The sequence below is a fragment of the Homo sapiens genome, chromosome 19 (assembly GCF_000001405.40).
Source record: "Homo sapiens chromosome 19, GRCh38.p14 Primary Assembly".
Taxonomy (NCBI): Eukaryota; Metazoa; Chordata; class Mammalia; order Primates; family Hominidae; genus Homo; species Homo sapiens.
Window position 1 is genome coordinate 17,247,543 of NC_000019.10, and position 19,506 is coordinate 17,267,048.

General features: G+C 53.4%; 1 protein-coding gene across 5 annotated transcripts, besides 5 other annotated features; it reads right to left on the minus strand.

The window, feature by feature from the left end:
* Nucleotides 260–1,209: an enhancer, noted in NCBI's record as "H3K27ac-H3K4me1 hESC enhancer chr19:17358611-17359560 (GRCh37/hg19 assembly coordinates)". NCBI's record gives its function as "activates a minimal SCP1, AML or CMV promoter by ChIP-STARR-seq in primed H9 embryonic stem cells {active_cell/tissue: H9 hESC(primed)}" and the evidence as "EXISTENCE:reporter gene assay evidence [ECO:0000049][PMID:30033119]".
* Nucleotides 1,210–2,158: an enhancer, noted in NCBI's record as "H3K27ac-H3K4me1 hESC enhancer chr19:17359561-17360509 (GRCh37/hg19 assembly coordinates)". NCBI's record gives its function as "activates a minimal SCP1, AML or CMV promoter by ChIP-STARR-seq in naive H9 embryonic stem cells {active_cell/tissue: H9 hESC(naive)}" and the evidence as "EXISTENCE:reporter gene assay evidence [ECO:0000049][PMID:30033119]".
* Nucleotides 1,629–17,203, minus strand: USHBP1 (USH1 protein network component harmonin binding protein 1). 5 transcript variants are annotated; one of them, NR_135632.2, is made up of 14 exons: nt 17,129–17,203; nt 16,704–16,805; nt 16,460–16,608; nt 15,010–15,448; nt 12,355–12,480; nt 12,054–12,190; nt 11,747–11,887; nt 11,042–11,159; nt 10,670–10,843; nt 8,929–9,178; nt 7,843–8,064; nt 4,369–4,475; nt 4,040–4,162; nt 1,629–2,872 (listed from the first exon to the last, which is right to left on the minus strand). NR_135632.2 is itself a non-coding variant. In NM_031941.4 (13 exons), the coding sequence occupies exons 2-13, from the start codon at nt 16,755–16,757 to the stop codon at nt 2,683–2,685; spliced, it is 2,112 nt and encodes a 703-aa protein (NP_114147.2). In that variant the 5' UTR covers nt 16,758–16,805; nt 17,129–17,203; the 3' UTR covers nt 1,629–2,682. The 5 variants fall into 5 exon arrangements, 4 of the variants coding, with proteins under 4 accessions (NP_114147.2, NP_001308346.1, NP_001284632.1 ...); NM_031941.4 differs by lacking the exon at nt 11,042–11,159; NM_001321417.2 differs by lacking the exon at nt 11,042–11,159 and having other exon boundaries at nt 17,019–17,203.
* Nucleotides 13,868–14,469: an enhancer, noted in NCBI's record as "H3K27ac-H3K4me1 hESC enhancer chr19:17372219-17372820 (GRCh37/hg19 assembly coordinates)". NCBI's record gives its function as "activates a minimal SCP1, AML or CMV promoter by ChIP-STARR-seq in primed H9 embryonic stem cells {active_cell/tissue: H9 hESC(primed)}" and the evidence as "EXISTENCE:reporter gene assay evidence [ECO:0000049][PMID:30033119]".
* Nucleotides 14,676–15,233: an enhancer, noted in NCBI's record as "H3K4me1 hESC enhancer chr19:17373027-17373584 (GRCh37/hg19 assembly coordinates)". NCBI's record gives its function as "activates a minimal SCP1, AML or CMV promoter by ChIP-STARR-seq in primed H9 embryonic stem cells {active_cell/tissue: H9 hESC(primed)}" and the evidence as "EXISTENCE:reporter gene assay evidence [ECO:0000049][PMID:30033119]".
* Nucleotides 18,951–19,410: an enhancer, noted in NCBI's record as "active region_14261". NCBI's record gives its function as "activates an Ori minimal core promoter by ATAC-STARR-seq in GM12878 lymphoblastoid cells {active_cell/tissue: GM12878}" and the evidence as "EXISTENCE:reporter gene assay evidence [ECO:0000049][PMID:35858748]".

A 19,506-nucleotide genomic window follows, 5' to 3' on the forward strand; every position in this document is an offset into this window, starting at 1 on the left:
GGGGAGCATTGGGGTGGAGGTCTCAGAAGGGATTGAAAAGAGATTTAGATGAGAGACAGGCGCTGTGGCTCACGCCTGTAATCCCAACACTTTGGGAGGCCAAGTCAGGAGGATCTCTTGAGACCAGGAGTTCAAGACCAGCCGGGGCAATAAAGTGAGACCCGTCTTGAGCCCAGGTGTTCAAGGCTGCAGTGGGTTATAATCACGTCACGTCACTCCACTCCAGCGTGAGCAAGACCCTGTCTCAAAAAAAAAAAAAAAAAGAAGAGGGAGAGAAGACTCAAGGAATCTTGAGGGGATTGTGAAGGGGAGGGAGCAAAGAACTAGGTTTGGGGGAGACAAGTCTTGCGAGGCAGCTGAGAGCTGGGTGGGAGATGGGGGAAGAAAGACCATCGCAGATCCCAGAAACTCCAGTAGTTCCAGTCCCAAAGGCTGCCCCACCCCCTTCCAGTAGCCTGGCCACCCCTGTGCCCCCTGGGGCCCGCCTGGGGGTGGATCAAGGCTCTACCCCGCCTCCCTGACCCCTGCCCGCGGCCCTGCAGTAACATTTGACCTTGCGGCGGCCGCAAACCAGGGACAAAGGGGCCTAGGCCCATCTGCTGAGGGGGCACCCGTGGGAATGGCCAGATCCTGCTGGGGCAGCCTGGGAACCTGTCTCCGTCCTCCCACATGTGACCTTGGCTCCCTTTGCCCCTCCACAGGCAACCTGGTGGGACCAGGAACTCAGGTCTTAGACTCTGGGGCTCGGCAGGGTACAGGGAAGAAATTCAGCTTCTCTGCCCCACCCCAACACGAGCAAGGTGGTCTGCCTCCATTTCCCTGCTTTCTTCAAAGTTGGCCCAAGTCCAGGGACAGCGTGTGGGTCGGAAGGTGACTAGCCCCAGCCCTCGCTGGAGGGGACTGTGCTCGCCACCATACTTCTTGTTCTGTTTCTGGGGTCAGGTTGACTGGATTCAAGTCCAGGCCGCTGACTGGCGCTGACCTCAGGCTGACGTGGTCCTGCCCTGGGAGAGGCGGTGAACACACCTGCACAGGTGAGGCCTGGAGCACCTGCCCCCAAGGCTGGGAATGAAAGTCTTTCTAATCCCTGTCTCGGGTTTCAGCTGCCACCCTGAAGGGGGACAGCTGGCCACTAATCCAAGCTTGGCTGGGTCGTTCCAAGCTCCCCTTTCCCAGACTCAGCCAGTCCTGGTGTGGAGGGGCAGGGAGATGTGACTTATGCAAATGACATGCTAATTCATTGCCTGCTATTAACCTGACACGTCCCACAGCTCCTGGGCCCCCAGGAGAAAGCTGGAACTGGCCACCATTGGCATTCATTCTGAGTTTCTCTTGAAGTACAACGCCCCCTGAGTCCCAGACTATTACCTTTGCTATGCCTGTCCCCCACCCAGAAACCCTTTACCTTATTTTATTTATTTATTTTTGAGACAGACTCTCCTATTTTGCCTAGGCTGGTCTTAAACCCCTGGGCTCAAGCAGTCCTCCTCCCTCGGCCTCCTGAGATACTGGGATTACAGGCAAGCTCGACCACATGGAGTCCAGAAACCCTTGACCTTAGCTTTGAGTTAGTAGCAACTCGTCATCCACACCCTGAATCTGAACCATTCCAGCTTCAGTCTCCCTCCTTTTTGTTTTGTTTTGTGTTTTATTTATTTATTTAGAGACAGAGTTTTGCTCTTATTGCCCGGGCACGATCTTGTTGTTGGCGCGATCTCGGTTCACTGCAACCCCCGCCTCTCAGGTTCAAGCAATTATCCTGCCTCAGTCTCCCGAGTAGCCGGGATTACAGGCATGTGCCACAACACCCAGCCAATTTTTGTATTTTTAGTAGAGACGGGGGTTTCACCATGTTGGCCAAGCTGGTCTCAAGCTCCTGACCTCAGGTGATCCTCCCCGCCTCAGCCTCCCAAAGTGCTGGGATTACAGGCATGAGTCACCACGCCTGGCCTGTTTTTTTTTTTGAGACAAGGTCTTACTCTGTGACCCAGACTGGAGTGCAGTGGCGTGATCTCAGCTCACTGCAACCTCCACTTCCCAAGCTCAAGTTACCCTCCCACTTTAGCCTCCTAAATATCTTTATAGGCACATGCCACCACGCCTGGCTAATTTTTGTATTTTTTTGTAGAAATGGGGTTTTGCCATGTTGCCCAGGCTGGTCTTGAACTCCTGGGCTCAAGTGATCTACCCACCTTGGCCTCCCAAAATGCTGGGATTACAGATGTGCACCACTGAGCCCGGCCCCCTTCAGGAAAATCTGCCAGCCAAACCCAGCATCTCCCTGGGAAGGGGCTGCCAGGAGAAGCTCTGTCCAGTCCCCATGAATCCCTCCCTGGGCTTCGGGAGACAGGCCAGTTGGAACTTCAGCTGTGGCTATGCAACCTCACGGACCCCCGAAATGCGTCAGTCCCAGGGACCTGGTCCCATAGCCCAGGTTGCTTCTGGCCTGACCCCACTGATATGAAGTTCACATTCCACTTGGTGCCAGGCCAAAGACACCTGAGTCTTTCTTCATTGCCTGGCCACACCCCATCAGGCCCTGGACACCCATGTGCACCAGCTTCCCTCACGCCAAATGTGCCCCAACATGCCAAATCATGCAACATGACATGATGTCACTCCAGGACAGTTTATGACATGCCACAGCTGTCTGGCATGTCCAGACATGGCTGGGTAAGGGGCCTACAGAAAGGTGTCCCCAAGCTGGGGAGGCGGGAGGGGAGGCCTGGGCTTCCCCAGGGCCCTTGCAGTGGCTTCGAGCACCGCCACCTCCTCGGCCTGCTGAGCCTCCATGAGTGCCATCTGCTGCTCCAACTTCCGGCGTTGCTCTTCCTGCTTCCGGTGGGCTCCTCGGAAGGCCAGGACCAGGGCGCTGGAAGGGGTGGGTGGCTGGGTCAGGAAACAGCCCCCGAGTCCACCCAAGGCAAGGGCCGTGTACTCCCACTCCCAGAATGGGGGCTCTTTCACATTGGGTCTCCAAGGGTCCCAGCTAGCTGGTCTTTTGTTGTTGTTGTTGTTGTTGTTTGAGACAGAATTTCGCGCTTGTCACCCAGGCTGGAGTGCAATGGTAAGATCTCCCCTCACTACAACCTCTGCCTCGAGGGTTCAAGTGATTCTCCTGCCTTAGCCTCCCAAGTAGCTGGGATTACAGGCGCCCACCACCACGCCCAGCTAATTTTTTTGTATTTTTTAATAGAGACAGGGTTTGACCATGTTGCCCAGACTGGTCTTGAACTCCTGACCTCAGGTGATCCGCCTGCCTCAGCCTCCCAAAGTGCTGGGATTACAGGCGTGAGCCACCATGCCCAGCCTGTTTTTTCTTGTTGTTGTTTTTTGAGATGGGGTTTCGCTCTTGTTGCCCAGGCTGGAGTGCAATGGCACAATCTCGGCTCACTGCAACCTCTGCCTCCCGGGTTCAAGCGATTCTCCTGCCTCAGCCTACCGAGTAGCTGGGATCACAGGCATGCGCCACCACGCCTGGCTAATTTTGTATTTTTAGTAGAGATGGGGTTTCTCCATGTTGGTCAGGCTGGTCTCGAACTCCCGACCTCAGGTGATCTGCCCACCTTGGCCTCCCAAAGTGCTGGGATTTCAGGCGTGAGCCACTGCGCCTGGCCCAGCCTGTTGTTTTTTTTTTTTTTTTTTTAGACAGAGTCTTGCTCTGTCACCCAAGCTGGAGTGCAGTGGTGTGATCTCTGCTCACCACAACCTCCACCTCCTGGGTTTAAGCAATTCTCCTGTCTCTCAAGTAGCTGGAATTACAGGCACGTGCAAAGACGCCTAGCTAATTTTTGTATTTTTAGTAGAGATGGGGTTTCACCACGTTGGCCAGGCTGGTCTCAAACTCCTGACCTCAAGTGATCTGCTGGCCTCAGCCTCCCAACATGCTGGGATTACAGGTGTGAGCCACCACACCTGACCGTTACTGCCTATCTTGGGGCAGTGGGGAATGCTAAGGCCCAGAGACAGCCAGGGATACTTCTGATATCCTGGTGGGGGATGGTGCCAGGGGGATTGGGGGGATGCAGAACAGTCCTACCTGTGGGCTTTGCATAAATCCCTGTTCAGCTCGGCACTCTGAGACCGTCTGGCTCGCCCCTTCTGAGCCACCTGTTCCAGCTCCCTGCGCAGAGACTGCAGCTGCTCCTGCAGGTCCAGTGTCCTGTTGCGAAGGAGAAGAGAGGGGGCTCACAGCCCCAGCCGATCCTGTTTCCCAGGTCTCCTCCTACCCACCTGCCCACAGTATTGTCATGTAAACACACCTGTACACCGGGGTACACCTTAGCTTCTACTGCAGACGACACCCCCGGGGGCTCTCACATAGGCTGCCTGCCCACCCCCCGCACAGCCCAGGACCCAGGCACACACCTGGTGAGCGATGCTGCCAGTTCCTGGGCTAACTTCTCTGGGTCCCAGGCTCTGCCCACCTGGCCACCATCAATGCCACTGGTGCCACCAGGGACAGCAGGAAGGCCCTAAGGGAGGCAGAAGACAAGAAAGTGACATTAACCTAGGCCAAGTCCGTGCTTGGCCCACACTGGACATTGGAGCTGCCCAGACAGTGGCAGCTGCTGTGCTCTCAGAGACCCACATCTGGTTCGATATACCAATAAGAGCAAAATTATACTCTGATAAGGGAAATATCCTATTTAATTAAAAAAAATTTTTTTTGAGACAGAGTCTCACTCTGCCACCCAGGCTGGAGTACAGTGGCACGATCTTGGCTGACAGCAACCTCCGCCTCCCAGGTTCAAGCGATTCTCCTGCCTCAGCCTCCCAAGTAGTTGGGATTACAGACACATGCCACCAGACCCGGCTACTTTTCGTATTTTTAGTAGAGACGGAGTTTCACCATGTTGGCCAGGCTGGTCTCGAACCTCATCTCTAAAAATAAAATTTAGGGGCCAGGTGTGGTAGCTCATGCCTGTAATCCCAGCACTTTGGGAGGCCAAGACGGGTGGATCACTTGAGGTCAGGCGTTCAAGACCAGCCTGGTCAACATGGTGAAACCCTGTCTCTACTAAAAATATAAAAATTAGTCTGGCATGGTGGCAGACCCCTGTAATTCCAGCTACTTGGGAGGCTAAGGCAGGAGAATCGCTTGAACTTGGGAGGCGGAGGTTGCAGTGAGCCAAGATCATGCCACTGCACTCCAGCCTGGGCAACAGAGTAAGATACGGTCTCAAAAAAAAAAATTAGCCAGGCATGGTGGCGGGCACCTGGAGTCCCAACTAACTGGGCGGCTGAGGCAGGAGAATCACTTGAAGCTGGGAGGCAGAGGTTGGAGTAAGCTGGGATCGCAGCACTGCACTCTAGCCTGAGCAACACAGTGAGACTCTGTCTCAAAAAAAAAAACAACAAAAAAACAAAAACAAAAACTAGAGATCCACTGGAAGTCCTTCCTCCTGTCTAATCCTTGTTTGAAATAATAATAATTTTTTTTTTGAGAAGAGTCTCGCTCTGTCGCCCAGGCTAGAGTGCACTGGCGTGATCTCAGCTCACTGCCAGCTCTGCCTCCCGGGTTCACGCCATTCTCCTGCCTCAGCCTCCCGAGTAGCTGGGACTACAGGCGCCCGCCACCATCCCCAGCTAATTTTTTGTATTTTTAGTAGAGACAGGGTTTCACCGTGTTAGCGAGGATGGTCTCGATCTCCTGACCTCGTGATCCGCCCAACTCGGCCTCCCAAAGTGCTAAGATTACAGGCTGGGATTACAGGCATGAGCCATCGTGCCCGGACAGTAATAATTTTTTTTTCTTTTTTTTTTTTTGAGACGGAGTCTCGTCGCCCAGGCTGGAGTGCAGTGGCGCAATCTCGGCTCACTGCAACCTCCACCCCTCCAGGTTTAAGCAATTCTCTGTCTCAGCCTCTGGAGTAGCTGGGATTACAGGCACGTGCCACCATGCCCAGCTAATTTTTTTGTATTTTTAGTAGAGACAGGGTTTCACCATGTTGGCCAGGCTGGTCTTGAACTCCTGACCTCATGATCCACCCGCCTCGGCCTCCCAAAGTGCTGGGATTACAGGTGTGAGCCACCGTGCCTGGCCAATAATAATTTTTTAAAAATTAGGCTGGACGTGGTGGCTCACGTCTGTAATCCCAGCACTTTGGGAGGCCGAGACGGGCGGATCAGCCTGAGGTCAGGAGTTTGAGAGCAGCCTGGCCAACATGGTGAAACCCTGTCACTACTAAAAATACAAAAATTAGCTGGGTGTGGTGGTGCACGCCTGTAATTCCAGCTACTCGGGAAGCCAAAGCAGGAGAATCGCTTGAACCTGGGACGCAGAGATTGCAGTGAGCCAAGATCGCACCACTGCACTCCAGCCTGGGTGACAGAGCAAGATCCGTTTCCCAAAAAAAAAAAAAAAGAAAAAAAAAATTAAAGGCCAGGCGCTGTGGCTCATGGCTGTAATCCCAGTACTTTGGGAGGCTGAGGTGGGCAGATCACCTGAGGTCAGGAGTTCTACACCAGCCTGGCCAACATGGTGAAACCCCATCTCTACTAAAAAATACAAAAATTGGCCAGGCACGGTGGCTCACGCCTGTAATCCCAGCACTTTGGGAGGCTGAGGCAGGTGGATCACAAGGTCAGGAGATCGAGACCATCTTGGCTAACACAATGAAACCCCGTCTCTACTAAAAAAATACAAAAAAAATTAGCCGGGTGTGGTGGCGGGCGCCTGTAGTCCCAGCTACTCGGCAGGCGGAGGCAGGAGAATGGCGTGAACCCGGGAGGCGGAGCTTGCAGTGAGCCGAGATTGCACCACTGCACTCCAGCCTGGGCTACAGAGCGACACTCTGCCTCAAAAAAAATAAAAAATAATAATAAATAAGCCGGGTGCAGTGGCTCAAGCCTGTAATCCCAACACTTTGGGAGGCTGAGGCGGGCGCATCACCTGAGGTTCAGAGTTCGAGACCAGCCTTAGTAACATGGGGAAACCTCATCTACACTAAAAATACAAAAATTAGCCGGGCGTGGTGGCGCGTGCCTGTAGTCCCAGCTACTCAGGAGGCTGAGGCAGGAGAATCACTTGAACCCAGGAGGTGGAGGTTGTGGTAAGCCAAGATCGGGCCATTGCACTCCAGCCTGGGCAACAAGAGCAAAACTCTGTCTCAAAAAAAAAAAAAAGAGATGAGGTCTCGCTGTGTGGCCCAGGCTGGAGTGAAATGACATAATCGTGGCTCGCTGAAGCCTCCAACTCCGGGTTCAAGTGATCCTCCCACCTCAGCCACCCGAGTAGCTGGGACCACTGTGATAAGGGAAATAAATAACAGGAAACCGCATCTGAAGTCACTCCAGGAGGGCTTCCTTGAGGAGGTGATGTCTAAGCTGAGATCTACAGGAGGTCGAGGACTTTATGACACAAAGAGGGAAGTGACCGGTGTTCCTGGCAGGGACACAGAATATACAAAGGCTTGGAGGTAGGAGAGATGATTTAAAGAGCTGCATTAAGGACAGGTGCGGCGACTCATGCCTGTAATCTCAGCACTTTGGGAGGTGGAGGCAGGCGAAACATTTGAGGCCAGGAGTTCGAGAGCAGCCTGGCTAACATGGTGAACTGCAACTCTACAAAACTGCATCTCTACAAAACATACAAAAAATAGCTAGATGTGGTGGTGCGTGTCTGTAATCCCAGCTACTCAGGAGGCTGAGACAGGAGAATCTCTTGAACCTGGGAGGCGGAGGTTGTGGTGAGCCGAGATTGCAACATTGCATTCCAGCCTGGGCAACAAGAGCCAAACTCCGTCTCAAAAAAAACAAAAAAAAAAAGGCTGTGATTGACAAGGGCTATGTTCTCATTAGTAAGCTACTCCCCTACCAGGTTCAGGCAGGGCAGCTCACCTGATACCACTCTTCCTCGTCCCCGCTGCTGCCACCTCCGCTGCTATGTCCGCCACTGCTGTTTGCCCCACCAGCCTGGAGCTCTGCCCGTTCCCACCGCAGCTGCTCCAGCAGGAGCACGTGAGCTGGACCCAGGGCTCGGAGGGCAGCCTCCCGCAGCTCTAGGCCCCGCTTCTCACGCCGCACCAGCTGCAGCCGAAGCATCAGGTCCGCCAGGGCCTCCTGTGGGACCAAGGAGAGGGGAGAGAATTTATGCTTCTACGGTCAACTGCAGGGAAACTGAGGCCCCAAGAGGCACCCACTGAGGACTATTCAGACAAAAACTGTGACTTTTGGCCAGGCGCAGTGGCTCATGCCTGTAATCCCAGCACTTTGGGAGGCCAAAGTGGGTGGATTACCTGAGGTCAGGAGTTCGAGACGAGCCTGGCCAACATGGTGAAAACCCGTCTCCATTAAAAATACAAAAATTAGCCAGGTGTGGTGGTGCACACCCGTAATCCCAGCTACTTGGGAGGCTGAGGCAGGAGAATCACTTGAACCCGGCAGTGGGGCAGAGGCTGCAGTGAGCCAAGATAGCGCCACAGCACTCCAGCCTGGGTGAGAGCAAGACTCCGTCTCAAAAAACAAACAAACAAACAAACAAACTAGGACCTTCACCATTCACCATGTTCTTGTGAGGTGGAAATATCTTCCTCCCATAAAAGCTACAGCTGTAGAAATGGCATTTCCTAGAGGGGCAAGTAGCTTACATAGGTCAAGTATTAGTTCTGTCAAAGCTTCTGGAGTTTCTCTAACTCCAGAACCTCAAGTTTTTCATGCCAAGCTACAAACCCAAGATTGTGTTCTTTGCTCCCATCTCTTCCCATAGGAAGGGCATTTTGGAGAGCCAGATTTGTAGTCTAATGAGAAACTGAACCCCAGAAAACAAACTCCTATTAATCCCTCAAAACCCCAGCTCCAATTCTCCCTTCACAATGCCTGCACTCAGCCCAGCAGAATTCTCCTTTGCTCCTTGGTCCCCCGACCTCAGTAAAGGATTTTGTCCCACCAAGAAAGACTGACACAGTGGCCACAGCCCATTTGTACCCTTGCGGCCACCAGGTCCTGCTGAATTTGTGTCTTCTCCAGTCGGGGAAGAGCTGGGCCAGCCTGGGTCCCCAGAATGGCCTGCACCATGGCTTCTGCACGGGGCACAGTGGGCATGGGTGCCAAGGTGGGGCCAGGCTCTGAGAGAATCTTCATTAGAGAACGGCGCTCCTGGAGACGCTGGACATAGCTTCGGAGCTGGAAAGCCACTTCCTGTGGGGTGGGCTTATCCACACTGCTGCCTTCAGGGCTATAGAAAACAGAAAAGGTGCCTATGTCAACACTGGCAGGCATAGGTGGGTTAAGTTCATGCCAATCCTGGTAGGGTCCATCACCTTCCATCTCACTGGCCACGATGGAATCTATGCCATCTTTGGTGGTCCCTGTCACACCAACATACCCCACTAGGCACCACCTTCCATCAAGACCACATGGTGGCCAGGTGCGGTGATGCATGCCTGTAACCCCAGCACTTTGGGAGGCTGAGGTGGGAGGATTGCTTGAAGCCAGAAGTTTGAGACCAGCATAGGCAACAGAGTGAGAATCCGTCTTTTTTTTTTTTTTTTTTGAGACGCAGTCTTGCTCTGTCGCCCAGGCTGGAGTGCAGTGGCATAACCTCGGCTCACTGCAAGCTCCACCTCTCGGGTTCACGCCATTCTCCTGTCTCAGCCTCCCAAGAAGGTAGGACTACAGGCGCTTGCCACCACGCCCGGCTAATTTTTTTTTTTTTTTTTGGATTTTTAGTAGAGACGAGGTTTCACCGTGTTAGCCAGGATGGTCTCGATCTCCTGACCTTGTGATCTGCCCACCTCGGCCTCCCAAAGTGCTGGGATTACAGGCGTGAGCCACCGCGCCTGGCCGAGAATCCGTCTTCATAAAAAATTAGCTGCGGCCGGGCGCAGTGCCTAACGCCTGTAATCCCAGCACTTTGGGAGGCCGAGGCAAGTGGATCACCTGAGGTCAGGAGTTCGAGACCAGCCTGACCAATATGGAGAAACCCCGTCTCTACTAAAAATTCAAAATTAGCCGGGTGTGGTAGTGGGAGCCTGTAATCCCAGCTACTCGGGAGGCTGAGGCAGGAGAATCCCTTGAACCCGGGAGGCAGAGGTTGCAGTGAGCCGAGATCGGACCATTGGACTCTAGCCTGGGCGACAAAAGTGAAACTCTGTCTCAAAAAAAAAAAAAAAAAAAAAAAAGACAGGGTCTCACTCTGTCACCCAGGCTGGAGTGCAGTGGTGCAATCTCAGCTCACTGCAGCCTCCACCTCCCAGACTCAAGGCATCCTCCCACCTCAGCCTCCCAAGTAGCTGGTACTACGCGGGCACACCACCATGCCCAGCTAATTTGTTTGTAGTTTTGGTAGAGAAGGACTTTCGCCATGTTACAAGGGCTGGTCTTGAACTACTGAGCTCAAACGATCTGCCTGCCTCGGCCTCCCAAAGTGCTGGGATTACAGGCTTGAGCCACTGTGCCCGGCTGTGGGTGCCAGTTTTAACCAGTAGGCATTGTCATTCATCTTCATGCCAACTGCAATGTCTGTCAACCACCATGCCAACTTTGTCAAGTAGCAACAGGCCAACTGCAGTTGAGCCTCATGTCAACCAACTACAGTGAGCTCCATACCGACCTTGCTGGACACAGCCACACCAAGCCCCGAAACGTGGTGAGCTCTGGGAGCCCCATCCCCCAGTCAAGACCCCACTCCTCAACCAGGCCAGTTCCCAGGGTTCCAGGGGGGTACCTTGGCTGTGGATTCTGCTGTGCTCCTGCATCCATGGCAGCCTCCTCTTGTGCCAGCAGCCTCCATGCTTCCTTTTCAGCTGCTTGCAGGTCACTCATGGGGGCTTCGTCTCCTGCTCCTGAGTCGGCCTCCCGCAGAGCAAGCAGAACCCTGTATGCCTCTTCACAGTGTTCACTGTGGGACACTGGTTCTGAGTGCTTCAGGACACTCAGCTCGGCTGGGTGCAATGGCCCTCACCTGTAGTCCCAGCACTTTGGGAGGCTGAGGCGGGAGGATTACCTGAGGTCAGGAGTTCGAGACCAGCCTGACCAACATGGTGAAACCCCGTCTCTACTAAAAAGACAAAGATTAGCAAGGTGTGGTGGTACGCACCTGTAGTTCCAGCTACTCAGGAGGCTGAGGCAGGAGAATCACTTGAACTGGGGAGGCGGAGGTTGCAGTGAGCCAAGATGGCACCACTGCACTCCAGCCTGGGTGACAGAGCAAGACTCTGTCTCAAAAAAAAAAAAAAAAAGAAAGAAAAAAGAAAAAAAAATCCACTTAGCTACATCTTGCTCTATAGGTGCCAGTCCCCACTTGCTCCTGAACCCCTCTTCTCCCCACTGCCCTCAGCTCTGGAAGCATGCAGACTCCCTTAGCAACCCTGAACTAAAATTGCCTTAAGTTAATTTCTGGGCCAGGCAAGGTGGCTCACACCTGTAATCCCAGCACTTTAGGAGGCCCAGTAGGGGGGATCATGAGGTCAGGAGTTCGAGACTAGCCTGGCCAACATGGTGAAACCCATCTCTACTAAAAATACAAAAATTAGCTGGCTATGGTGGCATACACCTGTAATCCCAGCTACTCAGGAGGCTGAGACATGAGTATCATTTGAACCCAGGAGGCAGAGGTTGCAGTGAGCTGAGATCTCACCACTGCACTCCAGCCTGGGCAACACAGCGAGATTCTGTCTCAAAAAAAAAAATTAATTTCTGAAGTGGGGAAGGTGCTCTCCAGTGAGGGTTCTGTGGATTGGGGCCATCCTCAGAAAGCCCACTCCCTCCCCAGCTGGTGACATCACTGGCAGGGTGCACTGACCTGTACTGCAAGGCCAGATGCAATGCTGTGGCCTCAGCCTCCCGCTGGCCTAGCTGCATGCTGAGGCCTTCACAGCGGCCCTTGTATCCCTGTAGCACAGCTGATAGCAGACGATTAAAGCATTTGAGCTTCTCAATGCTCCTGTTCCCGAAGGTGGGGAAGAGGGAAAGTCAGAGGCCTTCTAAGGCAGTCAGGCCTCAATTTCCACCCTTTCCCTCCCTCCTGTTGCAGCTTCAGACTCCTGGCTTTATAACTCAGTTGGAGGAGGTGCCTGTGCCCTTATGAGCTCAGCATTTGAGTCTCTTACCCCCGGAGTTGCTCCATCTGGGCTTCCATGATGTGCATCTCAGGACTGAGGGGCTGGTTGGGAAGAGACCCAAGGATCTGGGTGCTGGAATGGCTGCGGAGGCGCCGAAGCAGGGGGTGAGCCAGGGAGAAGGAGTCCTGCCAAGAAGAAGTGATATAACTGACCCCAATTGTCACCAAGAGCCTGGGATTGTAGGCATTTTGCAACCCCAAAGCTGTTGGATCCCATGACAAAGATTTGAGTCTCATTCCCCTGAAGGCTAAGGACATCAAGACCATGGGATTGAACTTCTCGCACTCACCTGAGTCTCCCAGGGTTCCCTGTCTGCCTCAGAGCTGCTAGAACCACTGCCTGAGCCACCTGCTTGGTTGTGGGAAAGATGTGGGCAGGGCTCCAGCCTCAAGAGGGAATCCTGCAGCTCTTGAACCTGGGAAAGATGAGGGGGACGTCAGGCCTAGGGGCTCAAACCAACCACCAGCCCTCTCTCCCCAAGGCCTGTTCTTGGGGAAGTGGCAAGAACCCTAGCTGGAAGGCAAGAGGCTTGGATACTTAGCCTGCCAAAAATCTCACTATCTGACCTTGGGAATGTTTCTCAGCTGCTGAGGATTTTATTTTTCCCAGCAGAAAAATGGGCCCCACTCTGGGGAAAAATGAATCCCTGGACTGGGCTCCAAAGTTTTTCTACCAGCCTAAGATGAGGGCTTCCCTCTCAATATCTCATTCAGCCACATGGCTTTTTTATTTTTATTTTTGAGATGGAGTCTTGCTCTGTTACCTAGGCTGGAGTGCAGTGGCACAGTCTCAGCTCACTGCAACCTCTGCCTCCCGGATTCAAGTGATTCTCCTGCTTCAGCCTCCCGAGTAGCTGGGATTACAGGCATCTGCCACCATGCCTGACAAATATTTGTATTTTCAGTAGAGATGGGGTTTCACCATGTTGACCAGGCTGGTCTTGAACTCCTGACCTCAAGTGATCTTCCTGACTCAGCCTCCCAAAGTGCTGGGATTACAGGCATGAGACAATGCACCCAGCAGCCACATGGCTTTAAATGCCACCTGTGTGCTAAGGATGCTCAAGTTTCTCCCTTCTGCCCTGCTGTCTCCTCTGAGCCCTGGACTCAGACATATAGCTGCTCCCTTGAGGACCCCACGTGGATGTCTCATGGACACTTGAGCTTATCAAGGGCTAAAGAGATCTGGTCACCCCCAGCCAAACCTGCCTACCCTGTAGCTCCTCCATCTCTCCCTTCTAGTCCAGCAGGTCCCAAAGCCTGAAGTTGTCCTTGACTTCTCTCTAGCCTTCACGCTCACACGTCAGTTCCATCTGCCACATCACCCAGAATCCGTCCGCATCTCTCCACTTCTACAACCTCCACCATCGTGCATGTCTGGACCAATGAAGTCGCCTCCTGGCTCTCCAGGAGTCCACCCTCACCTCCGCCACCAGAGGGCGCCTGTGAACACCTGCGTCGAGCATGCCCCTCCTCTGCTCAAAACCCTCCAGGGCTCTCACCTTAATCCAAGCAAAGCCCAAGCGTCTCCTTGCAGCCCACGAGGCCCTACGCGATCTGCATTTGTTCTCCCTCTGTTCTGTTCTGGCTCCCCACACTCTCCCTGTTGCCCCCTGTGTTCCAGCCACACTGGCCTCCTTCGGGTTTCTTGAACAGGCCAGTCATGCTGCCACTCCAGGGCCTACTCCCACCACCCTCAGTTTTCTTTCTTTTTCTTTCTTTCTTTCTTTCTTTTTTTTTTTTTTTTGAGAAAGAGTTTTCTTCTGTCGCCCAGGCTGGAGTGCAATGGCGGGATCTCGGCTCACTGCAAGCTCCGCCTCCCGGGTTCACGCCATTCTCCTGCCTCAGCCTCCGGAGTAGCTGGGACTACAGGCACCCGCCACCACGCCGGCTAATTTTTTGTATTTTTAGTAGAGACGGGTTTTCACCGTGTTAGCCAGGATGGTCTCGATCTCCTGACCTCGTGATCTGTGCCTCGGCCTCCCAAAGTGCTGGGATTACAGGCGTGAGCCACCGTGCCCAGCATTATTATTATTTTTTTTTTTTTTTGAGACAGAGTCTCACTCCGTCACCCAGGCTGGAGTGCAGTGGTGAAATCTCGGCTCACTGCAACCTCCACCTCCTGGGATCAGGCGATTCTCGTGCCTTAGCCTCCCTGGTAGCTGCAGAATTGTGTCAAGCAATTCTCCTGCCTCAGCCTCCAGAGTAGCTGGGATTGCAGGCACGTGCCACCACACCTGGCTAATTTTTGTATTTTTAGTAAAGACAAGGTTTCACCATGTTGGCCAGGCTGGTCTCTAACTCCTGGCCTCAAGGGAGCCACCCACCTCGGCCTCCCAAAGTGCTGGTGTAGATTACAGGCATGAGCCACTGCACCCAGCCAACCTGGCTGATTTTTTTTTTTTTTTTTTTGAGACAGAGTCTCACTCTGTCCCCCAGGTTGGAGTGCATTGGCACGATCTCAGCTGACTGCCATCTCCATCACCCGGGTTCAAGTGATTCTCCTGCTTCAGCCTCCTGAGTAGCTGGGATTACAGGCCTATGCCACCGCACCCGGCTAATTTTTTTTTGTATTTTTAGTAGAGATGGGGTTTGACCATGTTGGCCAAGCTGGCCTTGAACTCCTGACTTTGTGATCCACCCACCTCAGCCTCCCAAAGTGCTGGGATTACAGGTGTGAGCCACTGTGCCTGGCCAACCTGGCTGATTTTTAATTTTTTTGCAGAGGTGGCAGTCTTGCTGTGTTGCTGAGGCTGGTCTTGAACTCCTGGCCTCAAAGGATCCTCCTGCCTCCACCTCCCAAAGTGCTGGGATTATAGGTGTCAGCCACCACACCCAGCCTTAAAAGGTTTTTTGAATGAACAAATGAATGAATATTGCCTACATCAGGCCCACCTCCTCCCTCAGACAGAGAGCCACATGGGACTCAGGATGGCCCCACTCACCTCTTTCTGCAGCGTCTCCTTCTCAGCTCGGATGGCCTCCAGGGAGGCCTGCGTGCGGACCAGCTCATCCTCTCGGCTACTCAGGGCCAGCCGGAGCCAGGCATTCCTCTCGGCCAGGCGAGCTGCCTCTCGCTGGCAGCTCCCTGCCCCTTCCTGCTTCCCAAGGGAACCTGCTCCCCCTTCGCTTGTGCCTTCGAACTCCATCGGCCCAGAATGGCTGGGGGGCTGGTGGCGCCAGGCTGCAGCCGCTGCCTCCAGGGAGCTCAGAGTGTGCTGGAGGGTCTGAAACACATCGGGGGCCCCATTCCCAGGGGGCACAGTCTCCTTGTACTGTAGGGCTGCTTCTGGGGCTTGGTGGGCTTCCACTGCAGGTTTGTGGGGCACTTCGGGGGCTGAGGCCAGTTCCCTGCCAGAGCCCCCATCCATCTTCTTGTCAGTCCTGTGGACACCAACTCAGGCACTTGAGTCACTCCATGCTGGGCAAGGAATTCTTTTTTATTTTTTGAGACGGAGTCTCACTCTGTTGCCCAGCCTGGAGTGCAGTGGCGCGATCTCGGCTCACTGCAACCTCCACCTCCTGGGTTCAAGTGATTCTCCTGCCTCGGTCCCCCAAGTAGCTGGGATTACAGGCTCCCACCACCACGCCTGGCTAATTTTTGTATTTTTAGTAGAGACAGGGTTTCACCATGTTGGCTAGGCTGGTGTCAAACTCCTGACCTCAGGTGATCCGCCCAACTCGGCCTCCCAAAGTGCTGGGATTATAGGCATGAGCCACCATGCTCGGCCCTGGGCAGGGAATTCTGAGGGCTTAAACTTCATGGTCTTGGGGAGGTGTGAGCGGAGCAGGGAGTTGGCAAGAGCTGCGTGTTCTGGGACTGGCATCCCAGGGTGAGACTGGGAGGCTGTGAATTCAAGGAAGAGGCTAGATAGAGGTGGTGAAGAAGTTGGAGGGGAGACCTGGAGCTGAGAAACAGAGTGAAGTTGGACTGTGACGGGCACTGGGAAAGGCCTGAAGGTGAGAGACAGAAGTTTCTGGAAATAGGGTCTTCTGGGGCGGCGGCTTACACTTGTAATCCCAGCACTTTTGGAGGCCAAAGTTGGGGGATCACTTAAGGGCAGGAGTTCAAGACCAGCCTGGCTAATGTGGCCTGTCTCACTAAAAATGCAAAACTTAGCCGGATGTGGTGGCGCACACCTGTAATCCCAACTACTCAGGAAGCTGAGGCTCCCGCTTGAACCGGGAGGCAGGGGTTGCTGTGAGCCGAGATTGTGCCACTGCACTGCACTACAGCCTGGGTGACACAGCAAGACTCAAAAAAAAAAGAAAGTCAGGCTGAAGGCAATAGGGAGCTATGGTAGGTGTGTGAGCAGAGCAGGCACATCAGCAGATCTGTGGATGGCAAAGATGCGTCTGGACTGGAGTGAAGGGCACAGACCAAGCGGGTCTTACCTGCTTCCTAGGCCTTGGCCACTGACCTCCTCCATGGGGCCCAGCTGCTCCAGCCCGGAGCTCACCGGAGGTGGGGCAAAGCTGGGCTTGGAGCTCCCACTGGCTGCCTCGACCTCCTCTGAACTCTCAGCCACGGGATCCAGTTCACCCTGCAAATGACCCCCGGGGCCCTGCTCTGAGCCAGGCAGGACAGGACCTTGGGGTCCCCAGGATCTGGGTGTGGAGGGGAGAGGGTGACACTTACGGGTGGAGCATGCCTCCCTCGCCGGCTTCGGGGCCGCGTGGCCCGGGCACTCATTGCTGTCCAGAAGCCAGTGCCCTCTGAATGCTTCTCCTTCGTCAACCCCTAAAACCACAGCCTGCCATGAGCTCTTGCCTTTGTTGTCCTGGACAAAGGACAACCTCAATTTCCTCTGCTGTGAAATGGGGCACTGACTACCCCTCAGGAAGGGATTTTGTTATCAATGTTGATTGGGCAGATTTGAATGCCTCCCTGGACAGGGAGCTCACTACCTAAGAAGGTTGTCCTGATCTCCCCCTTCTTCTCTGCCTTCTTTACCTTCACTACGTCTTTGTCCACTTTCCTCCTCTATTTGAGCCTGGGAATGCGATCTCAAGAATTCCCTCTCCTCCCCGGCCCTCCTAAATGAGAGGTTCAGCTCTCTCTACCTCTCTGATCCTCTGGGGGTAACTTGATCAGAGGCCTGAGTCCCGGGACACTCTGTTGGGGTCACTCTGACCACTGCCTGTTCAGGCCTGGGCTGGCCAAGCCTGGCCTGGGAGGGGCTGGGAAACAGGAAACCCCCTCCCCTGGTCACGTGACTTGTTATTGTGTTGTTTCCTTCTCGGGGACAGCGGCTTCCTGCAGCCCTAGCGGGGCACACATACCTGACTCCCAAGGTTTCAGCCCCTCCTCTTCTCAGCCTCCAAACTCATGGCCCTTCTAGCTCTGACTCTTGGATTTTATTTCTCAAGAGCTAGAATGGGCCGAGCACCATGGCTCACACCTGTAATCCCAGCACTCTGGGAAGCTGAGGAAGACAGATCGCTTGAGTCCAAGAGTTTAAGACAAGCCTGGGCAACATGGCGAGACCCCCGTCTTTACAAAAAATATAAAAATTAGCCAGGAGTAGTGGCGTACGCTTGTAGTCCCAGCTACTCAGGAGGCTGAGGTGGGAGGATTGCTTAACACCTGGAAGTTGAGGCTGCAGTGAGCCGTGGTCACGTCACTGCACTCCATTCTGGGTAATAAGGCAAGACCCTGTCTCAAAAAGAAAGAAAAAAAAAGAGCTAGAATGTTCCCGTGAGCTGATGGTTTTTATTTGGCTCCCCTGTGAACTTTTCTTCTCTGCCTGTCTCTTCATTGTGGGCTGACAGTTCTCTTTTTTTTGAGATGGAGTCTTGCTCTGTCGCCTAGGCTAGAGTGCAGTGGCGCAACCTTGGCTCATTGCAACCTCCACCTCCTGGGTTCAAGAAATTCTCCTGCCTCAGCCTCCCGAGTAGCTGGGATTACAAGTGCCCACCACAATGCCCAGCTAATTTTTGTATTTTTAGTAGAGACAGGGTTTCACCATGCTGACCAGGCTGGTCTCGAACTCCTGACCTCAAGTGATCTGCCAGCCTCGGCCTCCCAAAGTGCTGGGATTACAGGCGTGAGCCACCGCACCCGGCTAGGGATGGGTTTTTCCCATGTTGGCGAGGCTGGTCTTAAACTCCTGACCTCAGGTGATCCACTCACCTCAGCCTCCCAAAGTGTTGGGATTACAGGCATGAGCCACCGACCCCACCAGCCCCAGAAACATTTAAGAGCCACTTGAAGCCTCAGTTTATTTATTTATTTTATTTTATTAGATGGAATCTTGTTCTGCCACGCAGGCTGGAGTGCAGTGGTGCGATCTCGGCTCACTGCAACCTCCACCTCCTGGGTTCAAGCAATTCTTCTGCCTCAGCCTTCTGAGTAGCTGTGATTATAGGTGCGCGCCACCACACCCAGCTAATTTTTTGTATTTTTAGTAGAGACGGGGTTTCACCATATTGGCCAGGCTGATCTCTAACTCCTGACCTCGTGATCCACCCACCTCAGCCTCCCAAAATGCTGGGATTATAGGTGTGAGCCACTGCCCCCAACTCCTCAGTTGTTTTTTTTTTTTTGAGGGTCAAAGAAGCCGGCCACATTGGCCAGGCTCTAATTCGAGAATAGCCGGAGGGGCTGTGTAAGGTGAGCTTTGAAGCATAAAGAACTTGCCAGAAAAGCAACAGGAGGAACAGCATTCCAGGCAGAAGGAACTTCCTGGGCAAAGGCTTAGAGCCTTCAAAGAGCCGCTCTAGGTGACACAGCGAGACTCCATCTCAAAAAAACAAAAACAAAAACGAAAAAAAAAAACACAACAAAAACCCAGCTCTACTAAAAATACTATATATATCTCAGCCGGGCCTGGTGGTGCATGCCTGTAATCCCAGCTACTTGGGAGGCTGAGGCAGGAGAATTGCTCGATCCCTGGAGGTGGAGGTTGCAGTGAGCCGAGATTGAGCCACTGCACTCCAGCCTGGGCGACAGAGCAAGACTCTTGTCTCAAAAAAATAAAAATAAATAAATAAATACTTCTGGGGCTAAGGGGGAAGTGTGCACTAAGAAGACAACGGCAGCCTGGGCGACAGAGTGAGACTCCATCTAAAAAATAAAAATAAAAAAAAAAGGAAGGAAGCCTAGGGTAGTCTGATGCGGTGGTCCTCGCCTGTAGTCCCAGCTACTTGAGCGATCGCTTGGCTGTAGTGACTAGCCATGATCGCGTGACTGCAGTCTAGTTTGGGCGACAGAGCGATACCCTGTCTCTAAAAATAAGAAAAAAAAAAGCCATGAAAAAAGAGGTAGGCTTGAAATAGGCCCGACTTAGCTTCGCTCCACCTACAGTGACCCAATAAGACCAGAGTAAGTATTTTTTGATTCATGCAAATATATGTAAAATAAGGAACAAGAATTAAGTAATTGGGAAGGGCCCTGGATGCTCAGGCCACACCCACATGGGAATACCTGCCCCACATGGAGG